This window comes from Homo sapiens, chromosome 13, assembly GCF_000001405.40.
Source record: "Homo sapiens chromosome 13, GRCh38.p14 Primary Assembly".
NCBI lineage: Eukaryota > Metazoa > Chordata > Mammalia > Primates > Hominidae > Homo > Homo sapiens.
The window spans coordinates 29,864,481-29,888,661 of NC_000013.11; the positions used below are offsets into that span (position 1 = coordinate 29,864,481).

The window sequence follows — 24,181 nt, forward strand, 5'->3', positions numbered from 1 at the left end:
GCCCGGCCGAGGTCACCATCTTAATGCCAAACTTAGTACGGACATCCGATCGGCACAGCCACTACAGCCCAGAATTCCTGGGCACAAGCGATCCTCCGGCCTCAGCCTCCGAAGTAGCTGGACTACAGGCATGCGCCACTGCGCCCGGGGCACGAACTGTTTCCTCTGCCTGGCATATATTTCCCCTGCTCCACCACCTGGCTAACTCCTGCTCATTCTCTGAAACTCAGTGCCCTCCAGGAAGGAGTCCACAACCTTCCCCACACCTCAACCAATCTCAGTTTCAGCCTCTGAAAGACCAAGGGGAAGACATTGGAGTCCAGTGTGGCCTGCAGCAGCCCTTGACTAATAGCACTTTGGCAAGTGTGTCCTGCTTTGGCATCCATTCACATACCTGTGTCAGGCACCAGGCGAGAGCACGGAGCTGGACAGGTGAGGCCCTGCTCTCATGCAGCCTCTGTTTTCGTAAGGAGACAGCTAATAAACCCAACAAGTAAACACACGAATATACAAGATAATTTTAGGTAGTCATAGATCTATAAATAAAGTAAAATTGGGTAATGAAATGAAGAGTGACAAGGAAGGTAGTCAACTCAAGGATAGATGGTCAGAGAAGGCCTTGGAAAAGACGGCACTTTAGCAGAGACCCGAATGAAAAGAAGCAGCTCACCAAGTGAAGTGCTAGGGGCAGAAGTTTCCAGGTATTCTTCACTTAAAGGAAGTGTCATGCATAAACATCTAAGGTTCTAACCTTACCTGCACATCATCAGGGTTCAGCTTGTAGTAGTTGCTCAATAAATGCTATGAATTGGATTGTTCAGCTGAAGAAACTAGGAAGGCTCTGGACCTGTGCTTTTTATCTCTTAGGACTCTCCTAACATCCGCCTGTTGGGGAAATACCACTACTTTACAAGATTCCTTGGATTGTCTTGGGTAAGCAAAGAAAATAGAGTCAGGCAGGAATTGCTATGTTCTGAATTACAAACACAGCCTGCCTCCAGCTCCTGGGTATGCCCAGTTCTGACATTTTCAAAGTTATCTGGAGATTTGGAGAGGAATTTATCATCTTGTCTTTGTGGGTAGGTTTTTCATGAAATGTTCGTCTGTATATCTCCTGCTGTTATTTTCTCTATTGTCACAATTCCATCCTTGATCTTATATCCAAGTGACCTTACAGTGGAACTAGAAGTACTTCAGTGAGACCAGGATTTCATGGAAAAGACAGTGACACTGCAGTTTTATTAATTTTTTTGAGAATTCACATTTATTGAATTACTGATGTGCTACAACATGGAATTTCTGAATTCCAAATAAATAAATTTCACTTTTTAAACATTTGTTCTGTTACTTTTTAACACCAACAAACTTGATAGCAGCCAGCTGCTGACCTGACAATGGGTTGACAACCTTCCCCCACTGGCTCTTCAGTCTGCTTAATCAGAAGTCCTTTGCTGCTTCTCATCCTCCCAGGGGATGGCCTACTGCCCTCCTTTCTGTACAATCTGGGCAAGCCGACTGGGATGGTAAGAGTGGTGTCAATGAAGCGGTCCACAGAGCTAGAGAGGCAATTTTCAGTGTGAGAGTCTAGGCATTTCCCTGGCTTCTCCACACATCCATCCCAGAACAGCTCCAGGAAGCGACACACCTGTGCTGCAACCCTGCTTCAACCACCTCGCCCAGCACTGTCATTGTCCACGTGAGTCTCAGGACCTCTCATTTTTCTTAAAGCCCCAGGAGCACATTTCACAATTTTATTTCACTGAATGCGTGTCCTGATATATTTAAACAGAATTGAAATAATAAACCCCCTGATTTAGTTTGAAAATTAAAACATGCATAGGTCCTAAACCAGCTTCAGTTGAGAAAAAAGTTACTTTCTACTCATAGAAAATCCAACATGAGAGATTTCCCTAAAACACTTTATTTTGCAACTACTTCAAAACATTGCAGCAATTTGAACAAAGATGTACTGGGTGATGCTCATGTTGTGCACAATGCTAGTCTGAAGATTTGAATTGTTAACTCCAGCAATTTCCATGACCAATTGGAATCTCTATTATTGATAATCAAAGTTGTCGTTTCCCTGAATCCTAGGGAGCTCAGGGCACTTGAATCCAAAAACGTCTGGGTGCTATGTAGAATACAATCAAACATTAACGGAAGGGAAGTGGGAGAGAGAGAAGCAGTATACTCATAGACAAAGTTTGCAAAAGGGTGAGCTAATAGAAAAGCAGCAGCAACAAGCACAGAGGCCATGCCTTGGGCAAGAGGCAGGAGAGGGTGTCCATACGGTGTTCTGCTTCTCTTTAGGGGAGCCCAGGGCAGGTGTTGTTGAACTTTCCCACCCTCATAGCTCTCAACTCTTGCATTTGTTTATTATGCCTGATCTGTTTAGTTACCTTGTCCAAAGGGAATTGCACCAATTACAAGGGCATGGAAATGAATGGATTGGTGGAGCTCTTTTCCTTGCAATTTTTCATACTGCATGGGGTTTTCATCAGGCAGCAGAAGGGGAAAGAACATGGAATAGTCCCCACGAACCTCCCTGGGCTCTACCACACATCTGCTGTGTTGAGGATGTAGAAGGTGAGGACGAGCCAAAAACAAACAAAAACAAAAACAAAAGGAGAATAGAAAGAAAAAGGAGCAGAAGCAGAAGGAAAATTGGATGGCACTGACAGTCCCCAGGTGACTTCCATGTGTCAGGCACAAGTAAAAAGGACTTGTGAAGCACCAGATTTATTTATTAAAGTATAAATACTTCAGTTCACCTAATCGCTACAACAACCCGTTGAAATGCCCATTTTTACAGGTGAATAAAAGAGACTCAGAAGCTAAATAACTTTCTTGTGGTCACTGGGATTCATACTCATGCCTGTTTAACTCTAAGGATTAAAGAGAAGGGGAGGGGATGATCAGAAAAGGTACCATGTGGCAATTTGCACTAACTCACTAACACAGAGTTAAGACGTCAGAAGAACAGGAGCTTCACTCTCCTTAGCTCATGCATATTCACTTTTCTTCCATAAACATAAAAAAAAGGTAAGCAGCTTCAGGGACCCAGAAGTAAATTATTGGTTTAATAAAATGCTGGCCTTTGGGTTTACTTTCTTTTAAAGACACAGTTTATCCGTCAAATTCCACTCTCGGTTTGTCTTATTCCAGGAAGGGTGTTCCTCCCTTCTGCACAAATGTGATTACAGGCAACTCTGCATTGGAAAGTAGTAAAAAAAAAAATGTGAAATCAAATTTTACCATTTATTTAAAAACTAACCACACCGCTAACATTTATTAGTGTATAACAATGGCAAGTTTAAACACACCTCCTGACACTGTAAAATGCTTGGAGGCCTGGACAGATCTACTGACTTTTTATCCTTTTTTTTCTTGCCAGCTCTGTCCTGTTTGGATGCAAGCAAGTGGCCCAAAGCCCTTTCTGTTTTTAAGAGTTTAGGGCCAGGCACAGTGGCTCATGTCTGTAATCCTAGCCCTTTGGGAGGCCAAGGCAGGCAGATGGCTTGAGTCCAGGAGTCCGAGACTAGCCTCGGATACGTGGCGAAACCCTGTCTCTACAAAAAACACAAACATTAGCCAGGCGTGGTGGCATGCACCTGCAGGCCCATCTACTTGGGAGGCGGAGGCAAGAGGATCGCTTAAGCCCAGGAGGCAGAGGTTTCAGTGAGCCAAGATTGCACCACTGCACTCCAGCCTGGGTGGTAGAGTAAAACCCCGTCTCAAAACAACAACAATGAAAACAGTGTTCTAAAAATTAAAGATGTGCCGGTCAGATTTTAAATTCAAATTTTCTTCCAGGTGCCTATTGAGGAAAATGAAGGATGATTTTGTTGGAAGCCTGAGTTGATTTCACCCTCTACCTGGTGATTCTTCTGGACTTACATTGCATGGTAATTAAATTAACATAGTTTACTCTAAATCAGGTTATTCCTTTGGAATATGCCAAATAATGGTCATGAAGATATCTGGGAAACGTTTTGTTGTTATTGTTGGTGGTGTTCATCTTTTCACAAATTTAAACTCCAATTATATTTGAGTATGTGGATGCTCTTCACACAAGCCTGTGCTAGTTTGTTCCAGGTCTTGTGGTAGTAGAATGTGTGAAGGCTCAAGTTTACAAACAAATTGTATTAGTGATGATTCTTATGAGGTCAAGGATGAAATTAAAATTCTTAATTACAAATCATCGGCACCTCCATTGTCAGGGGCGTGCTGGGATTCTCTGAACAGCTGCGTAATGATCCTCTGTGCTTCAGTGGCGTTGGCATGCCTTTGAGCTTGTTCCCTATTCACCTTTTATTTATAGCACCACGAGCGTGTTTATTTTCATTCTTATAAAAACTTGATTTGCTGACTGCAAGATATGACAAAGCTTTCATATCAAGGACAGAGACCTGTGATTTTTGGAACAGATTGTCTTTTATGGGATGATTCACCATGGACTCTTTAGTTAAAGCGATGGGCTCCTTTGTTTTTAGCTCTTTTTTTTTTTTCTTTTTAGTTTTTTAAAAATTTGTTTATTGGTTGGCGTTAGCCTTTGTTTTTAGCTCAACTAACCCGACTAGCTGTGGATCTTGAATTCGCTTTACCTGCATAGACAACTGAGGGAAAGCATGTTTCTGGATGTAGGGTGACGTTTTTAGTTTTTGATTAGCTGACATATTCTGGTGGCCCAAAGAATCACAGGATTGTAGAGTGGCAAAGCCCTTGAAAGTTAACCCACTCAGTTTCCAGCTTGGGGTTCTTGATGCCAGGGATCTGAAAAGATGGTGATGGGAAAGAGAGCAGGCCAGTCCGGGCAACAGAGTGAGACCCCATCTCCACCAAAAATTTAAAAATTTGCTAGGTGTTGTGGAGCATGCCTGTAGTCCCAGCTACTCAGGAGGCTGAGGTGGTTGGGAGGATTGCTTGAGCCTGGGAGGTTGAGGCTGCAGTGAGCCGTGACCATGCCACTGCACTCCAGCTTGAGCAACAAAGCAAAACCCTGACTCAAACGAACAAACAAACAAACAAAACAAAACAGGAAAGAAAAGAGAGTACGGAGGAATCGAATACTTTTAAAAAGGTAAAAGAAATTGTTTATTTATGACTGATAAGGCTGCCCAGGAGACTCAAATATCAGATGTTTTAGATTTGGGCTAGAATATGACGGCATTGATTATCTCACGGGAAAATCTGTTAGTAAAAACTGCATAAATGCAGTTCAGGACATAGAAGTCTTTTGGAAAATTGGGTACATTGCAGAAAGGTAATAAAAATTTCCTGTTAACTGTGCTAGTACAAACCCTTAGCACTGTCTTTGGAAAGCTACAGTGTTGGACATCCGGGCCACAGCAGGAAACAGAAGACACAAATCCCCTGCTCTTATGAAGCTGGCATTCTGATATGGAAAGACAAAAAAATAAACAGGTAAGAAAACAAGCAAATAAATAACTGAAATTGATAAGGCCACCTGAGATTGTGCTAAGTGGTATGAATAAAATGGCCCAGGAAGACAGAGTGAGGGGACAGGTTAACTCAGATTGGGTGATTAGAAAGGTTTCTCTGAAGAGAGATGCTTGTGATGAGTCCTGAAGGGAAGAAGAAAAGCCACATAGGAGTAGGAGGAGAATTGAGGTCCAGAACCTAGATTTTGGTAAGGTTTCCTAGGAGATGTCACCCCAGAGGCCTGCTGGGGAGCCAGTCAGCTGTGTTCCTCCCCAGGCCAGACACCTGTCCCCACCTTTCTATGCAAGCTTTCAGATCTCAATGTGGCTGCAAAACACTGTGGTCACCTTGCTTAGCAAAATGTTATGATTTTGCAAAGTAATGATATATGGTAATTGTATTTGAAAACCTAGCATTAAAAAAAGAAAAAAATACTATAACAAAAATCAAACTAAAACCACAGAGAATTTTTCCAGCAAAGGGACTCTCAAATGCTAAGACCCCAAGATGGGAACAGGCTTGGTAGGTTCAAGAAACAGGAGAAGACTGGTGTAGTTTTAGCTTGCTGTGTGTGGGAGAAAATGGCATGGTATGACATTAGAGAGGTCAAAGTTAAGCAGTTCATGCAGGTCCCTGTAGACCTGGCAAAGAGTTTGTGTTGCTGCAATGCATGGGGAGAATGTGTGGGGTTGAAGCAGGGCAGTATCAACATCTGATTTACATTTTATATCAATCACTCTGGCTGCTATATGGTGAATGGATTATAGAAGGATGTGAGGAGAGGCAGGGAGATCATCTGGAGACTTTTACCATCATTTAGGTGAGAAATGGTGATGACTTTTGAACTAACAGAAGCAGAGAGTAGAATAATGGTTGCCAAAGGCTGGCAGAGCTGGAGGTGTTGGTCAAAGGGTACAAACTTTCAGTTATAAGATGAACAAGTTCTGAAGATTTAAGGTGCAGCATGGGTGGTCATGGATTTGTTTATCCATTCTATTATGGTCATCATTACTCAACGAAAATGCATGTCAAATCACATTGTATACATTAAATATATTTGATCTTCATTTGTATGAGGTTGGTGCAAACGTAACTGCGGTTTTTGCATTGTTGAAATTTGCCATTTGGTACTGAAATACATTCTTAAATAAATGTGGTTATGTTATACATCATTTTAATGTACATTTCTTGCTTTTTTTGCTAATGACTTATTACTTGCTGTTTAGACTATGAAAATGATGTTAGAGAAAATGCAAATTCAAGCGATTTTCTTATTCGAATTCAAAATGGGTCTTAAAGCAGCAGAGACAACTCTCAACATTGACAACATATTTGGCCAAGGAACTGCTCATGAACTTACCATGCAGAAGTTTTGCAAAGGAGATGAGAGCCTTGAAGATGAGGAGAGTAGTGACCAGCCATTGGAAGTTGACAATGACCAACTGAGAGCAATCATCGAAGCTGATTCTCCTAACTACATGAGAAGTTGCGAAGAACTCAACGTCGACCACTCTAGGGTCAGCATTTGAAGGAAATTGGAAGAGTGAAAAAGGGTGCCTCATGAGCTAAGTGAAAATAAAAAAATCATCGTTTTGAAATGTCATCTTCTCTTATTCTACACAACAACAAACCATTTCTCGATTGGATTGTGAGGTGCGGCAAAATGTGGATTTTATATGACAACTGGCAATGACCAGCTCAGTGGCTGGACCAAGTAGAAGCACCAAAGCATTTTAAGCTAAACTTGCACCAAAAAAAGGTATGGTCACTGTTTGGTGGTCTGCTGCTGGTCTGATCCACTACGGCTTTCTGAATCCTGGTGGAACTATTACATCTGAGAAATATGCTCAGCAAATCGGTGAGATGCGCTGAAAACTGCAACACCTGCAGCAGCAGTGGTCAACAGAAAGTGCCCAGTTATTCTCCATGGCAATGCCCGACTGTAGATTGCACAACCAGCACTTCCAAAGTTGAACAAATTGGCCTACGAAGATTTGCCTCATCTGCCATATTCACCTGACCTCTCGCCAACCAACTACCACTTACTTCTTCAAGCATTTCAACAACTTTTTGCAGGGAAAACGTTTCCACAGCCAGCAAGATGCAGAAAATGCTTTCCAAGAGTTTGTCGAATCCCAAAGCACAGTTTTTTATGCTACAATATAAACAAACTTATTTCCTATTGGCAAAAATGTGTTGATTGTAATGGTTCCTATTTTGATTAATAAATATGTGTTTAAGCCTAGTTATAATGATTTTAAAATTCACGGTCCGAAACCGCAATTTTGCACCAATTTAATAAATTTTTTATAAAAAGAAATGATGAAAACTTAGACTATGTGGGTGGGAGGGAGCAGAGGAGGACAAGAGGTTGGATGCTGGGTTCATTTAAGATGGAGTCGGCAGGACCAGCCAAATTGCCCCCCTGCAGCAGCCACTGCAGGTGGTCACATAAGAGAAAGGATTACAGAAAACACAATGATGATATTATAGAGACAGACTTATATGCCAAAATATAAATATTCCTGAGGAGCTACTGCAGTGGTGATAAGGAATGCCAATTTAATTAGCGTTGCTGCTTGTGGCAGGTATATCCAGAAGTGTGCTTCAGCAGCACAGAGCCCTGTGACTTTGCTTTTATCTCCTGGAGAGCTTGAAGTTCTTCCTGCTCCCATTGGCCAAAAAGTTTCTCATCCTCCCTGTACTTTCCTCCCTGGGAAGTCATCACCATGATAGCACACACATGAAGGCCAGTCTTTGTGACCGTGGTGAAGAAAACAACTCTCCCCTGATGGTAACTGACAAGGGTGCAATCTGTCCAGGCAGGTGGTTATAGGAAGTAAAATAGAGTCTAGTTTGGTTCCAGTGACTCAGATCCCAAGGCGTGGAGGACTCTGTCCAGCCTCACGAGTCAGGTCTGTTTTTACCAACTGATTTCTGCTGGACTCCTGCAAAGTCTGTATTCTTGAGTCCCACTCTTCTTCCCATTCCAAGCCAAGCTATTCTTCCTGAATACCAGAGCAGTGTTTCTGCTGGGCTCTCGATTCTAGTCCCAGGTCTGACAGAGCTCCCAGTTAAACGTCTCTGACCCAAAAAATAGGTCTCTTCTGATGCTCAGCTTTCATGGAAATAAAAATTAAGTCTCCCTTTTGGAACTGTCTTCTGTTTTCTACCTGTATTCCCCTTTAAGCTGTTGTTCACTAGACTCTAAGCCATGTGGTTTTTCCTGGAGGAATACAAAGAGTATCTTTTGTTTACTCATTAAAATGTAACCCTTAATAATCAGTGACAGCCATTTAACAGACATACACAATGTACCATGTGCTGTGTCTAGATGAAAACCTGCCTAAGTAAGCCATTTGATCCACGCTTTCTGTGCAACTGGGTTTTGACCACAATAGTTCTTGGGATACTCTATTTATTATGACAACACCTAGAGGGCTTCTTTAACTTGAACCTTTGCAAAAATAACAAAAGGATTAAAAATTACTGGGTCTAGAGAAGGCATAGAAATGAATTAAAAAAAAAAACTTGGTGAAAAATCACAAATACAAAAGTAATGCATCCTCATTAGAAAAATGTGAAAAGACATAAAGCCAGAAAAACAAATCCCACCCCTAACCTTTCCAACCCCTACCACCAATCCCCACCCCTGTTAGTATTGTTTTCTACATTTCTTTTAGATATTAGAACTCATACTAGATATAAAATTTGAAATCTTGACTTTTTTTTTCACTAGCATAGACACTTTACCAGCATCACAATTCTTTGTAAATATCATACTGAATGGCTACATATTTTTCCATTATAAGGCTATGTCACAACACGTAGGTTTAAAAAAAAAAAAAAAACTCTCCCCATTTAACATTTTTACCCAAGTTGGAATAAGTACTTGAATATGACCTTCAAATCCCCTTTCTTACTAAACTCAGCTTCTTGGGAAACTCATAAAAAGCAATTGCCCAAAGTCCAGGTATATTCAGGAAGAAAAAGAAAAAGCCAGCCGGGTACAGTGGCTCACGCCTGTAATCCTAGCACTTTGGGAGGCCAAGGTGGGTGGATTGCCTGAGCTCAGGAGTTCGAAACCAGCCTGGGCAACATGGTGAAACCCCGTCTCCACTAAAAATACAAAAAAAAATTAGCCGGGCATGGCAGCATGTGCCTGTAGTTCCAGCTACTCAGGAGGCTGAGACAGGAGAATTGCTTCAACCCGGGAGGCGGAGGTTGCAGTTAGCCGAGATCTTGCCACTGCACTCCAGCCTGGGCAACAGAACGAGACTCCATCTCCAAAAAAAATAAAATAAAATAAAATAAAGAAAAAGTCCATAACTTGCGCAAATATTTCTTAAATACAGCTGAATGTATTTTAAATGTTCATTTACTTTCTTACTTCTGAGAATTCCAGCTCAATCTAATATCATTTAGAGCCCAGGACTTTGGGCTCTTGGCAATTGACACAAATGTATATTTTGAATATATATACAATAGTACGAATACATTTATATAATTGGTGATTTATGCTTCAACCTCTAAAAATCCTTCATGCCATGTATCATTTTTTTCAACTGAAGTGTGTTAAACTTTATTTAGGGTTGTTTGTTGAAGGAATTTCACAATATTTTGAAGTAGCTGGAGGCAACCTGAAATATTACAAACTAGGGTCCTGAAACTATCATGAAAGTGATGTTTGTATTATGTCTTACATGTCAGGAACAACATTCCTCTTCTGTTTTGATGGAGCAACAGTTTTGAGGAAACAATGGGGGAAAATGTCATTGTTTGCCTGTCTGATTTGAAAGTCTCATTTTCATGGAATGAAATCCATTTAAATGTCATTATAAAGCAGTTTTTAGTTATTACATTCTAGTGATGGAGGAGTTTGTAATGTATTCATAGAAATAATTAAATGTTCATAATAGTGCTCTTGTTCACGATTTCTGAAAACAGCATTCTTTTAAACTATAAAAGCTCAGAACTCTCCTATTATCTTTGATTGATCCCCTGAAATGCCCACTCGCTCAATTTCAAGCAGTAAAGCACACTGAGGATTTAGAGAACCCAAAGGAAAGTTCAAAGAGGTTGATTGAGCTGAGCAGTTAGAATTGGAGGTTTCCTTTTGAAAATGCATCACCTTGAAGAACATTCAGCTAAAAATCTTGAAAAAAATTTAGATAGCCGGAGGGCCAGAGCATTTAGGTGGGATAGATTTTCCCCCCTAATTTTTACACGGCTTGGCATAGAGTCCCAGAAAGGAATTCTTAAAGCACATAGGGTCTAGGCCACCAAATTAGCACAGTTCCTATCCCTGGGGAGTTGACTTTAAATTTATCCTGTCTTGGTTTCAGGAAGGAAAATTCTTTTTCTGCAAAACCTGCCCCCACTCCCGCCATCAGATTTCCTCGATTTGTAGAAACTGTATCAGCATTTTGTGAAGGAAAAAGAGCTCTGAAACAAAGGGCTACGTTTGCTTTGAAGGTCTGGCAGGGACAAAGCAGGATTCTTTTCCTCCCTGGAGGATCAAATGGCAGCAATATAAGATGGAACCATGGGAGTGAGGAGCACAAAGGATAAATTTAAAGGACACAGTTCAGCCTTTCTCAAGAGGAAGAAGGTCTTATTTTTAGTTTTGTATTCTCCAGGTCAGCAAAACATGCTTCTCCTACTGATTTTGTCCTTTTCCATCCAAGTGGTTTTGATTTACAACACCAACTTGGATACTTGCTTGCTCTGCCTACGTATCTCTTCGTGCTAGATTCATCTACTCTTGTTGCTACCACTTTAGAAACAGAAGCAGTGGCAGGTTTGCTCTTCTTGTTTCAGCGATGTGGAATATTGGATTTTTGTTTGTTTGTTTTCTTAGGGTGTAACCTCCCAAACATCCTGGTAAATTTAAAGAGAAAATAAAAGGTATGCAAACTGTGGCTATGCTCCAATCTTGGCCATATTGCTTTGAGGCACAGTCTGCTCAGCCCACCTCCATACCTTACATTCCCTTCCACTGACACCAAATTACTCTTTACACATTAATCAGCAATGCTGCCAAAATAAGAGTCCAATTAGAGCATTCTTTCTTGATTGTTTTATTCTTTAAATTAACACTAAGCCAAAAGACCAACCCTCAGATGAGCAAATAAAGATCTATCTGCTTTAAGCAAACCTGATGGATTAAATTCCAGATTTGCAAAACCCATGCATTAGGAAGTAATTATTGGCTTTGTAAGAGAATCCTTCACTTTGCAAAGGAGCAACTAAAGGATTTATTTGAAAGCGCTATTGCATTTAAAATAATTTGGCTTACCTACATTTAATTTATACCAAGAGTCCTTCTACTGGTAAAGCTGGCAATGCCATGCAAATGGCCAAAGATTCTAACCACTTACTAAAGAAAGCCTAAAAGATACAAGCTATTGCAACTTTTACAGAGATCAACTGGCTCAGCAGCAGCTTCTTTAAGAATGACTGAAAAGCAGACATCCACTACATATGCACTCAAACATCTCAGCTTTGGAGAGGCAGAATGGTTTATCAGCCAATGAAGACCTGTTTGACGTGGGAAGATAATTATAAATTGCTAACCTGAGATCTTGGCCGAAATAATATGGTTACTAAAGTACGTAAAGGAGAATTTATTCTAATTCAGAATCTTGAGATAGGTGAAGAGTTATAGGGAGGGTCCAGTAGAATTTAAAAATTGAATGTTTTCAAATAGTTCCCAATGTGCATTTCAACTCATCTAAATGGGAAAACACAGGATGAGTGAGTTAATGAAAAATTGGGGATGTTCAGTAAACCTGTATCACTGCAGATTACAACTTAATTACACAGTTTTGTTAAAAATAGTAAATCGGCCAGGCTTGCTGGCTCATGCCTGTAATTCCAGCACTTTGGGAGGCTGAGACGGGTGGATCACCCGAGGTTGGGAGTTTGAGACCAGCCTGACCAACATGGAGAAACCCCATCTCTACTAAAAATACAAAAAATTAGCTGGGCGTGGTGGCCCATGTCTATAATCCCAGCTATTCGGGAGGCTGAGGCAGGAGAATTGCTTGAACCTGGGAGGTGGAGGTTGTGGTGAGCCGAGATCACACCAAAATCTCGAGCCGAGATTTTCTCCCTATTTTATTGCACGCAAGTTATAAATTAATGGACCTGCACAATTTAAACCAAGGTTTAAAGGTAAATTTTATTTAAATATAGAATTAGAAGTAAAATCATACTTCTTTTAGACTGGATTTTTTTTCCTACTGGCAAAAATTTTACATTTGCAAAGGGACAAATTATTTTGAACTCATGTGTAATTAAATATTGACTTCAGTGCATCTAAATTATTGCTCATTTTACAAAAAGATTAGAATTAGACATTACATATACATAATATGGCTTGGAAGTAAAATTAAAACCTTATTTCATGTTCACTTATTTCCCTCTAATAGCTTTTTAGTGGAAGTAACTCTCTTTCCTTCCCGTCCTTGCATCCTGGATTTGGCTGGAGAAGAAGACATTTGCAGGTCATCCCTATGCTGTCACCTGAGTGGCTTTCCCACTTGTAGGGAAGTAAGAAGGGGCACACATCAGAGTCCTTTTCCTTTTAACCAGTGCTGAATGCCTCAAAACTGAGAATTCACAAAAGACCTGCAACAGGATTAAGTTCTGACCTAAATAACTGCCTTTAGCAGTTCTGCATACTGTCTCTGAAGGTGGCATGGCTCACACATCCCCCACTGGACCTGCCCTGTTCTTATACCTCTCTACCCACCTAATTTCTTACTCACCTGAGCTCTATTTTTAGACATGTAGGTCATTATTTCAAGGACTGATTTATAGCGTGACATCATTGTTAATTATCTTCCGTTGGCATTGTTCTGTGATTGTTTCATCCATTCTGCCTTGTCTCCCACAAGACTACCAGTTAATTGTGGCAGTCACGGCACGAGATGCCTTGTCCTCCCCGACAACGCCTAGGAGAGTGCTGACAGCCAACCAGTGTTCTTCCAGTTCTCAACTGTGTGTGTGTCCAGGGACTCTAAGCTCAAGGTTCATTCTGATTTGGTGAGCTTACTAGGTAAGGGCTTAGAACAACAACCATAATTATATAGCAAGGGACACTTCTTAAAGTGAAAATAAGAAGAGAGGAAAGTAGCTTAAGACATATATATATGCTTTTTATTGTGGGTAACTTATTTTAATTTTTTTAACACATTTCCTACCAGGAGTCTATTGTTGTAAATAGCAGTGGCATGAAAGAGAAAGGGAGAAGGAAGAGGATGATAAGATAAAGGGCGAGGAAAGGAAAGATAAAGGGTTTAGCATGAAGTTACTTGCCTCCCTAATTTCCAAGGCCAGTCCTGCATTTCAAGGCATTGCTATCTTTAAGGAAGTTGGTTTACAATTACAAGTCTTTCATAAGCTGTTGCTTTGGGGTCCAGGGCATAGGTTCAAATTACTCTATTTCTACCGGAAGTGAGACCAATGGGAGCCAAGCAAAAGTGCATATTTATTCAGGCAGTATTTGATGAGCCAGGCAGTCTCCTGAACTCCTTTATTATGTATTTCCCTGCCTGTTAGCTGGCTATAAGTTATAAGATGTTAAAGAAAAGCCCACTAGAATATGCTACGGAAATAACAACAAACCATCACCTTTTCACCAATTATTAGCAGATTTGGATTTGATGATGGAGAAGTAAGAAAGATGATATGTGTCAGTCAATGGTAGCCCCATAATTTCCATATAGAAGGGCATTGGGGGGTGGAGGGTCACAATTTTCTTGGAAGGACCAGGAGTCGGGCGATGTCCACAAGTGGTGTTTTCATATGGAGCACATCGTTTTTACTTAGATTGTATGCTTATTTGGAGTGGTTGAGGGCTAGCTGATGCAGATTACAGGAGCAACCTAAGATTTTAACGCACATTGTTATGTTAGATATGGGGGTCTTTTTAAAACACAATTTCTATAGGTTGGTGCAAAAGTAATACTTTCTATAGAAAGCAAAATTTAAAAATATATCACTTCTGAAAAATTGGAAAGTTTTCAAACTGTCAATTTCCATACTTCCTCCTCCCACCAGTCTCCATGTATTTTATTTTGAACATCATTGGTATGGTTTTGCACTAGCAAGCAATATAAGGAGAAAGCTAAGTATCTGGAAATCCTAATTCAATCTGACATGCTATGTGTGTAAACTTGGAGTTGCCTGACAGTCTGCAGAACTGTATTTCTTATATCAAATGTCAATAAGACTGCCTATTTAAAAATCCCTCCATAATTACCTGCCAGAGTGCCCATGTTAGTCATTCCTTGGGTTAGTCACTCAAGCCCCTGTTAGGATGCTATGTTGGAATAAGAACACCCATTATTTCCTGTTAATAACTTAGTATATGTTTTATTATCACATTGCCTAGCCAGTCACTGCCAGATCCCGAAGCAATGGGATATAGGATGTGTAAATCTGGATAGAAGACAAACGATTAGAAAATTGCAAAGCAGCGAGCTGCAAGGGAGGGTATCCATGTAGAGGGGACAGAGGGCATCAGAGAGTCAGGGGGCTTGGGAGAAGGAACAAAGGAGAAGGCCCAGAAGATGAAAACCCAATTCATCCAGTCACTATTTTGACTATGGCCAGTTGCATGTTTTTAGCATATAGTAAGGATTAAATTTGGCTGAAGCTAACATGTAACAGTTCTTACTTAAGCAGGAAAGAACATTATTTCTCTCTTATGTTTTGTAAGTTCAGAGGCAGTTAGTTCTGAGCTAGGTTGTACTCCATAGTGTCTGGAGAACCCAAACTTTGTCAACTTTATTTTTTGTCTCATGCATAATTTTCACTCTCTAGGCCATTTCATGGCTCCAGATAGCTGCTGGAGCTCTGGTCATTGCCTTTACATTCTCACCAACAGAAGAGAAGAAACAGAAGCAAAGGACACAACTTCTCTCTTCCATTTCCACTTATGTTCTTACTGGCCAGAACTTAGACATGTGCTCTTAAATTTAGCTGCAGGAGGCCGGGCGCAGTGGCTCATGCCTGTAATCCCAGCACTTTGGGAGGCCAAGGTGGGTGGATCATGAGGTCAGGAGTTGGAGAGCAGCCTGACCAATATGGTGAAACCCCATCTCTACTAAAAATACAAAAATTAGCTGGGCATGGTGGTGCATGCCTATAGTCCCAGCTACTCAGGAGGCTGAGGTTAGAGAATCGCTTGAACCCGGGAAGTGGAGGTTTCAGTGAGCTGAAATCCTGCCACTGCACTCCAGCCTGAGTGACAGAGCAAGACTCCATCTCAAAAAAAAAAAAAAAAAAATTTAGCTGCAGAAGAAATTGGAAAATGTGATCTTTATTTTGGGTGGCCATGTGCACAGCTAAAATTATGGGTTCCATTACTATGGAAAGGGAGAGAAAGGCTACTGGGAGATGTAAGTCTCTACCATGGGATTACAGCCCCCATCTGAGCTGGTCCCACTGTTGGGGATCACCATGCTTCATCATTTCTACTGATTTTAGCCAGTGCTGGCCAGAAATCTATGATTTGTGTCATTGAGGAGCAAGACTAGGGAGCCTATGAATGACTAGCAGTGGTGACAGGGTGCCAGGGGGAGCCAGGACGCACAGGGACATGGCAGTCAGTGGTGGGGAGAGGGCCAGGATCCCTGGGAGACTGAGAAAAGAAGCAACACCCCGGCAACCTCCTGGAGTTTGACTAGGCGGGGTTACCCTGGGAACCCAGAAACTCAGGACAGGGAGGGGGACTTTGCTGCAGATCAGGATCTACCTCAGACCTTAGGGTGAAAGCAAGTGAAACACTGGCTCCAAACAGTTAACTTCAACAAGTCTCAATTTAAAGAGAAGTTCTTTGCATGTGTTTGGGTATTATTTGGGCAGGACGTAGAGAAGCACTTTCCATCTCATGAGAAAATGTATCTGTTCTCTGCTTGGGAAACCTGATGGTGGTTTAATTATCCCCAATTGAATATTAGCAGCAGGTGAGGTTTGAACTGCTCCTCTTTTAACTCTGCCAGGTATTAACATCAAAGCCTCCTTGGACTTTGTTACTGTGTTCCACACGCTGGCTTTTCCACTCCGCTCTCTTTCTTCCTTTTATGCCTAAAAACTGAAGACATGGAGTTATTTCAAAGTTATGATCTAAAAAATTAGCGTTCTTATGGTAACAATAATTTATTTCCCCATTTTCTATGTCCTATTCTAAGATTTGGCAATCAGCAGGATAATTGGAAATTTAAAATACCATGGTCAATATGACCAATTTAATGGATTTTTTTAATATGTAAAAACGTAGATGTACTAATTCTATAGCTTTTAGTTCTTTATAGCTTTGCTATTGCCTTTGCAAGGGTTTTGTTTTAATATATGTGAGAGTTTATAATAGTCATGCCTACAAACATCAATTTTACTCGTGTTTTACAGTAACAAGCAAGCATTCAAAAGATAAGATTAGCACTTTACAATATACATGATTGAAAGAATGTTGGTGATGTGAATAATATTATTTGCACTTAATGGCTTTTGTTTCCATTATCAGAGGACATGGATTATTACTTTTGCAGCTGTAGGTAGTATATTTCTAGTAGGACAGTGCCTTGGGCACAGCATGTGGTAGGCTACAGAGATTGCTAGGTGTCTACCCCACTGTCCATTCTAGACTCTTACTTTTGTATCAGAAGCCTGAGGGGGAAAGGATGAAATTTCCCAGCCTCTTTTGCAGCTAGGTGCAGCCAAGGACTAAATCCTGCCCAGTGAGATTAAGAGGAAGCCTCCTAAACGAGTGAGGGAATGCTCTTCTTTCCTTTTCTTTCTTCCTGTCACCTGGAATGCAGATCTTAGGTCAGGAAGTAAGGCACTAAGGTTAGTGAAACAGCAAAGTGGAAGCAGCCTGGATTCTAGAAGACCGGGAGCTGTCTGTATTAGTCCTGAAGGCCAACTCTGGCTTTTCAGCTGAGAGGGAAATTGTCTGTCTTGTGTAGGCTACTATTATTTAGGCTTCCCTCAATTAGGCACCCAGGATGAATTCTAACTGATAGACTGAGATTCAGGAACTTGGAACGGAGGATGCAAATCAGAGGTAGCAAGGGGCCAGAAGTCTTCTATTCTAGAAGTTGCAGGTCCACGTGGGAATTACATAGTGTTAAATCAAACTAAATGTGGGCTTTAGAGGCCTCTGTGGAAATCCTATGTAAAGAACTGCAACCTAGCCTAGTCCATACACAAACTGAAAACCTAATTTAGGAGTATATTCCGGTAACAAAGAGCTAAAAGTCTCAGCCAATCACAGAAGCCAAGCTTCAGTCAATTCCTTGTGGCCAAATGTTCAAACTGGGTTCCAATAAGGCAAATGCCAAGCTGAAACCAGTCCAGCTCTCTCTGTACCTCACTTCTATTTTCTGTACATCATTTCCTTTTTCCTGTCTATAAATGTTATCCAGCCACTTGGCAGTTCTACAGTCTCATTAAACCTCTCCTGGTTGTAAGAGTTGCCTGATTCTTGAGTTGTCCCTTGCTCAATTAAGCTGTGTTAAATTTAATTTGTCTAAAGTTTTTCCTTCAACAATGGTCATCTGCCAAGCTTCTAGACCAAGGGGTATTATTCAACTTTGTTGAGACTGGACAATCTTGAGTAGGTACACAAAAGTTGCTGTTGAATGAATAAATAAGCAAAGGAGTAAATAAAATGAAGAAGTTTTGTTTGGGGTGGCAGGTGTGGATGGAATGATTTTTGCTCACTAAGTCAAAAAAGCATGAAAAAACTCGCTTTAGGCACTTAAAAATTAATTTTGAATTCATGATGGGTGAACATACTTCAGAGTGATTCAAATATATTAGATTTTAATTCTAATGTATTAAAATATTATTAAAACGATCTATAATTTAACCCATCAGATATGGTAGTGAGCACTTACGGGCCCAGCATTGTATTGGGTATATAGTGGCTAACATTTAGAAGTAGTTTCTCCTTTATGATATCTGACATATGGCAAGGCACTGCAGAGCCTTACTTCTGTTCTCACACCCAAGGGGTTGTGTTGTGGGGGTGTGGGGAGTAAGCCAAGCAACGACATCGACAATGTGTGTCTCCGTACTTAACTCTCTCTCTCAATCTGCCCTAACCAGTATAGTCCATATACTCTCTCCCAGTATGGGGAATAAAGAAGATATCTGTAAGGCCCAAATGAATAAATTTCTAATGGTGGAATGTTAGGCATGTTGATTAATAAAAGGCACATAAGCAGCAAACTAATATAGTCTGGCTCTGCCTAAATGGGTAGTAATAAATGTGGTACTCTACTGGTCCTAGAACAGTACGCTGCTGTGAGTTCCTAAACCTAAATCTTCTTCACTAATGATCCAACTACCCAGTGTCTTTGGAGCTCTAGATAGCCAGAATGGGGCTAATAGGCATTCAGAAGTTATGTGAAGGAACTTTGAACCATCCTGGGACTATCTCAAGAGAATGCTAACAAGATTGTTTCAGACTTTAGGGATTTCAGTTTCACACGATTTGGATTGAGGGAACTGCAGAAAGATACTAACATCAAATTGGTCAGCCCATTGGGGTTGGGATGAGACTAAGAGTGTCTGTAAGTCAGTACTGTTCAACAGAACTTTCTGCAATGAAGGGAATGTTCTATATCTGTGCTGTCCATTGCATATGGCTATTGAGTACTTGAAATGTGGCTAGTGCAACTGAGGAACTGAATGTTTTAATTTAATTTAATTTAATTTTTATTTATGTGTTTTGAGACAGAATCTCACTCATGTTGCCCAGGCAGGAGTGCAATGGTGTGATCTCGGCTCACTGCAACCTCTGTCTCCCAGGCTTAAGCAATTCTCCTGCCTCAGCCTCTCAAGTAGCTGGGATCACAGGCGTCGCCCCACCATGCCCGGCTAATTTTCATTTTTTGTAGTAGAGACGGGCTTTCACCATGTCGGCCAGGCTGGTCTCGAACTCCTGACCTCAGGTGATCTGCCCGCCTCAGTCTCCCAAAGTGCTGGGATTACAGGGATGAGCCACCGCGTCCAGCCTATTTAATTTTAAATAATATAAGCAACTGCATATGACTAATAAGTACCATATTGGATAGCACAGCTCTAGAATTGTTTTATTTCTAGCTATCATAAATACTTCTGGAGAGCGAGTGCTTAAAATCATATCCAAAAGAGAATGCTGAGGTCAGCCAGGAAAAATGCTGCCAAAATGAGTGGTCATGCACGAGAGGTGATGGCAAGGAATTTGCTGAGCGCAGAGGGCAGGCTAGGGCCAGAGAGAGACAAGGCCAAACCGAGAAGCTGAGGGCAGAGTCACCAGTAGGACACACAGGACCATTGTGGATTTTTCATAGTTCCTGACTTATATTTGATGGTCTTGGGCTTTTTAGAAGGTCCAGCCCTAAGTCCAGAGCAAAGTGAATTAGATTGGTGATAGAAACAGAAGAACACATGTCAGAATGCCCATTGCTAATTCAGCTGCTGATATTTAAATACCAACACACATATTTAAATAAAATTCAGCTTTTTGCTAATATGTCATTTTTTGGTCTTTCCATAGGGTCTTTTTCCCCTGGTGTGAGAATTTTATTTGGCTATGGGAATAAAAAAAATACCAAAAAAAGAAAGCTTGCAATTAAATCAAGGACATTTTCGGTTCAAAGTATTTTTAATTGCACCTAAAGGTTTATGAGTTAACTTTCTTTAAAATAACAAAGTATGTGCAACTCTATTTTTAAAAAATTCATCAGAAAGTCCACCTGACTGTGACTGGCATTTTCTGTTGCCCTGGAGACAGGCTCAAGACTCTGCTCCATTGTTTCAACTTAATGGGACAATACAATAGTCTAGTGTCTTTGGGATCCCGCTGTTTCCTGTGTCTTTAAATTTATCACTATAGATACTGGGTACAATTAACAAAGACTTTGGAAGGAGGAATCCTGAGAGCATTTGACATCACTGAATCATGCCTTTCTAGTTTTTCTCAATGTGAGGCTTTCTTTAGAACTGCAGAAAAAAAAAATCAGAGGAAAACGTAACCACACAGGGAGCTGGTCTTTGAAAATCCTTAAAGTGAAAGGAGTCCTCTATAAGAATTCTTATTTCTCAGCCAAGGCTCAGAGCGGCTACATTACTGGGGATGAGGACTTGGGGAAGAGAAAAATCATCAATGCTACTTCAGCCTTATACTTGTCAGATTAGAAGTGGTTTTTATCCTTCCCCAAAAGGCTCATATTTATGCATATTGGCCACGTCTACACGTGGCAAGAGAGGAAAGCCTATGATTGATTATAAGTGATTATGTCATTGGAGGTGGGGTGGAGGCAAGAGAGCCAATCCTGTACATGCATAGTGTGATTAGCAGAGAAGTCGGCCTATCCAGCTGTGGTGGAGAAAAACCATTCAGGGTAAGTATTCACCACTGAGGAGAACTCTGATTTTGCTAGCCTATTTTCTGGGGTCTTACTATGTAGATCACTTGGGTAATGGATGAATCGAAAGCACATGAGAAAGGGTGGATTGATTTATACTGCAAAGGGCAGAGACTCACACTATGCTAATCCCCAACCCCGCTCCCATTACTGTAGATTGAATCAGAAATCTCTGCAATTGAGGCAAAGCTGTTTTTGCATTGGAAGAGCCCCTCAAATTATTATTATATTAATTCCCAGTAAAGGGCCATTGCCCTACTGGATGCAACCATGGACTAAGTCAGATTTGAAGGTCTATTCAAATAGGCCTTCAAATGTATGTATAAGAGAAGGTAGGACAACAGTGTGTATAGGGGTCAGGTGCAAGGGATTTGGCAGTCAGAGATCACAAAGAGTAGCCGCAGGTGCAGTGGCTCATGCCTGTAATCCCAACACTTTGGGAAGCCCAGGAGGGAAGAACATTTGAAGCCAGAATTTCAAGACCAGCCTCGGCAATGTATTGAAACCCCCATCTCTAAACAAAACAAAACAAAAAAATTAGCTGGGCACTGTGGTGAGCACCTATAGTCCCAGCAACTTGAGAGGCTGAGGTGGGAGAATCACTTGAGCCGGGGAGGCCCAGTGGTGATCCTGCCACTGCACTCCAGCCTGGGCAACAGAGCAAAACTCTGTCCAAAAAAAAAAAAAAGAAAAAAGAAAAGAAAAAAAGTAGCTATAGTGAGATAGGAATCAGACACAGGTGACAAGACCCCGCTGATAAAACAGGATGCAGTATAGAAGCCAGCCAAAACCCACCAAAACCAAGAGGGCAAGGAAAGCAACCTCTAGTCATCCTCATTACTCATTATACACTACTTATAATACATTAGCATACTAAAGGAACCTCCCACCAGCACCAGGACAGTTTACAAATGCCATGGCAACTTCCTGAAGTTACCCTACATGATCCAAAAGGGGGAAGAATCCTCATTTCCAGGACCTCCCCACCTCTTTCCCAGAAAACATGAATAATCCACCCCCTGTTCAGCATCTAATCAAGAAATAACCATAAGTATAGTCAGTCGAGCAGCCCCCAAATGCTACTCTGCCTATGGGGTAGCCACCCTTTTATTCCTTTACTTTTTAAGAAACTTGCTTTCACTTTACTCTGTTGGCTCACTCTTGAATTCTTTCCTATGTGAAGCCAAACACCCACGTGGCCTCCGAGGCTGAGCCCCAGTTTGGGGGTTTACCCTGTGACAATAGTATAGAACATCATTACTCACAGCGGAGTCTGCGGTCCCATAGTATCAGTGTCACCTGGGAGGGAGCTCATTAAAAAACGCAGAACCCTGGGCCATGTCTCAGACCTGTGGGGTCAGAACCCACATTTGAACAACATCCCCGGGTGATTCATGGCAATGTACACATTCAGGTTTGAGAAGCGCCAGCCTCGTGGGAAAGGTGGGCTGGGACCTCCATTCAAATTCTGCCTTTGCCAGTTTCTAGCTGTGGCAGAGACACAGAAGAGGGAAGGCTGTGAGGTCAGGCTGCCCACTTCACACACTACTGGTGTCCCACACATGCGAACCTATGGTCAAGATGTGTGCACGCTCTCAGCTTCCTCACCTGTACCCTGCAGACAATAATACGCCAACAACACTGGGTTGTTATGAGAATAATAAATCCAAATAAAGCACTTATCTGGAAAGTAGCAAGTGCTCAATAAATGCTAGATGCCAATGATTTTTTCTTTAAATGGTATGATGTTGGACAAGACTCTCAACCTCTCTGGACCTCAGGTTCTGTAGTGAGAACATAAGAACAATGATAACTAGTCCCTGGCCTGTGGGAAGGGTTAACAGATGTGTGCTGTATGGTCTGTAAACCTCTACAGAGATGATGATGCTGTTATCAGCAGCCTGTCAGAGGAAGAAGGATAGGTGTGAAGGTGATTCGTGCAGCCAGACCTGGCAAGAAGGCAAAACTCCTGATGGTGGGAGGAAGCTCTGACACGTGCTTGGGCCACTGAGGTTTTTCTGCAGCTCAGGGAAAATCAGACCACCCACAAATACGTGACGAGGTGAAAGGTCAGTGGGCTCATGTCACCCTGTCCTTTGTCTTATTCTCTCCACCTCCACCTAGGGACTGGACTAGACCGCCCAAGAAGGGACATTTGCTTAGTGGCTGCTGGGTAAACAACAACTTTACAGGATTCTGGCCAGTGTGAAACAAGAAGCAACACAGGTTTTCTACCCCGCAGCTTGCCTCAGAGCCCCCCAAGACTTCTCTTTTGCTTTTCTGTCTCACTCCTCTCTTCTTCTGACATATCCAGTCCCTTTGTAATCTTGACTTTCCTCTGAGGGTGCCACCAACTGTATCTGGGATACATTTCCTTATTTGCGGGACCATGAGACACTCACTCACTGTGGCTTGTTTAGTGCCTGAGGGGCAGAAAAACTGACCCTAGATTTACGGCTGCTGCTGCTGCTGAGGAGACTTTGAAGGTTTCTGCAGCAAACATCACCTTCTTTGTCTATCACAGCTCTGCTGGACAGAAGCACTGTGAGTCCCAACCCCAAGTGCCCTGTCAGGGCCAACATGTTAATGCAGCCACTACTGGAGGTCCCGAGAGGCCCGTCAAAAATCTGCCTAAGAATATGCCTCCATTTGGAAGGAAAGTGATCCATGTGGATACTTACCCCGCTAACTGATTTCTTCCTGGTGTTCTGCCACCACTTGCCTTTGAGAACTGAGTCCACAGCATCTCTTTTTTTGTCTTCCTGCTCCTCCAAAACAGCCTCCAAAACAGGATGTGTGTCCTGCATCCTCTAAAATTACAGTTGCAAAATTTAAGGCTCAGGTCAATGCTTGAGAAGTGTAAGCTCTGCCAAGCAAGGCTTTGCTTTTCCTTTTAATAATCTGTTTCCACATCTAGAACCATCCATAAAACCTTTGACAGCAAAATGCCCACCTCATAGAGATACATGTAAAATTTGAATTTTAGCCAGAGCAGAGATGCCAGCCCTGACCCTGATCCCCGGTCAGAGTCATCTGTCTCCTGAAGGAGGCCCTAAACCCTTGCCCTGCCCTGCCTGAGCTGTTCTATCATTTTTCGAGCTGGGTGAAGGACTCTTTCTGCCTCAGGAACAATATTAGTTACTGTTCAGGATAATGTACATTTGTGGTGCTCCAAGATATTACGTAATAATGCCCTGATGCTCTCTGGGAAGACAGAGTTCTGAAACTGACTCAACTATTTACTACTTCATGTGGAGAGGACTAGATTGCTTGGTGTATAGAAGTAGCACTCCTCTGGTCTCAACGACCAGGTG

General features: G+C 41.7%; 1 long non-coding RNA gene and 1 pseudogene across 1 annotated transcript, besides 1 other annotated feature; both read right to left on the bottom strand.

The window, feature by feature from the left end:
* Nucleotides 1,285-1,649, bottom strand: TIMM8BP1 (translocase of inner mitochondrial membrane 8B pseudogene 1; annotated as a pseudogene).
* Nucleotides 7,310-7,541: a silencer, noted in NCBI's record as "fragment chr13:30445927-30446158 (GRCh37/hg19 assembly coordinates)". NCBI's record gives its function as "represses an EF-1alpha promoter that drives an FKBP-Casp9 reporter gene in an ReSE screen in K562 erythroleukemia cells {active_cell/tissue: K562}" and the evidence as "EXISTENCE:reporter gene assay evidence [ECO:0000049][PMID:32094911]".
* LINC00297 (long intergenic non-protein coding RNA 297) lies at nucleotides 8,133-23,925 on the bottom strand. The gene is made up of 2 exons (NR_046510.1): nucleotides 23,549-23,925; nucleotides 8,133-8,668 (listed from the first exon to the last, which is right to left on the bottom strand). It is a non-coding gene; the product is annotated as a long intergenic non-protein coding RNA 297 (long non-coding RNA).
* Nucleotides 23,926-24,181: the final 256 nt, after the last annotated feature.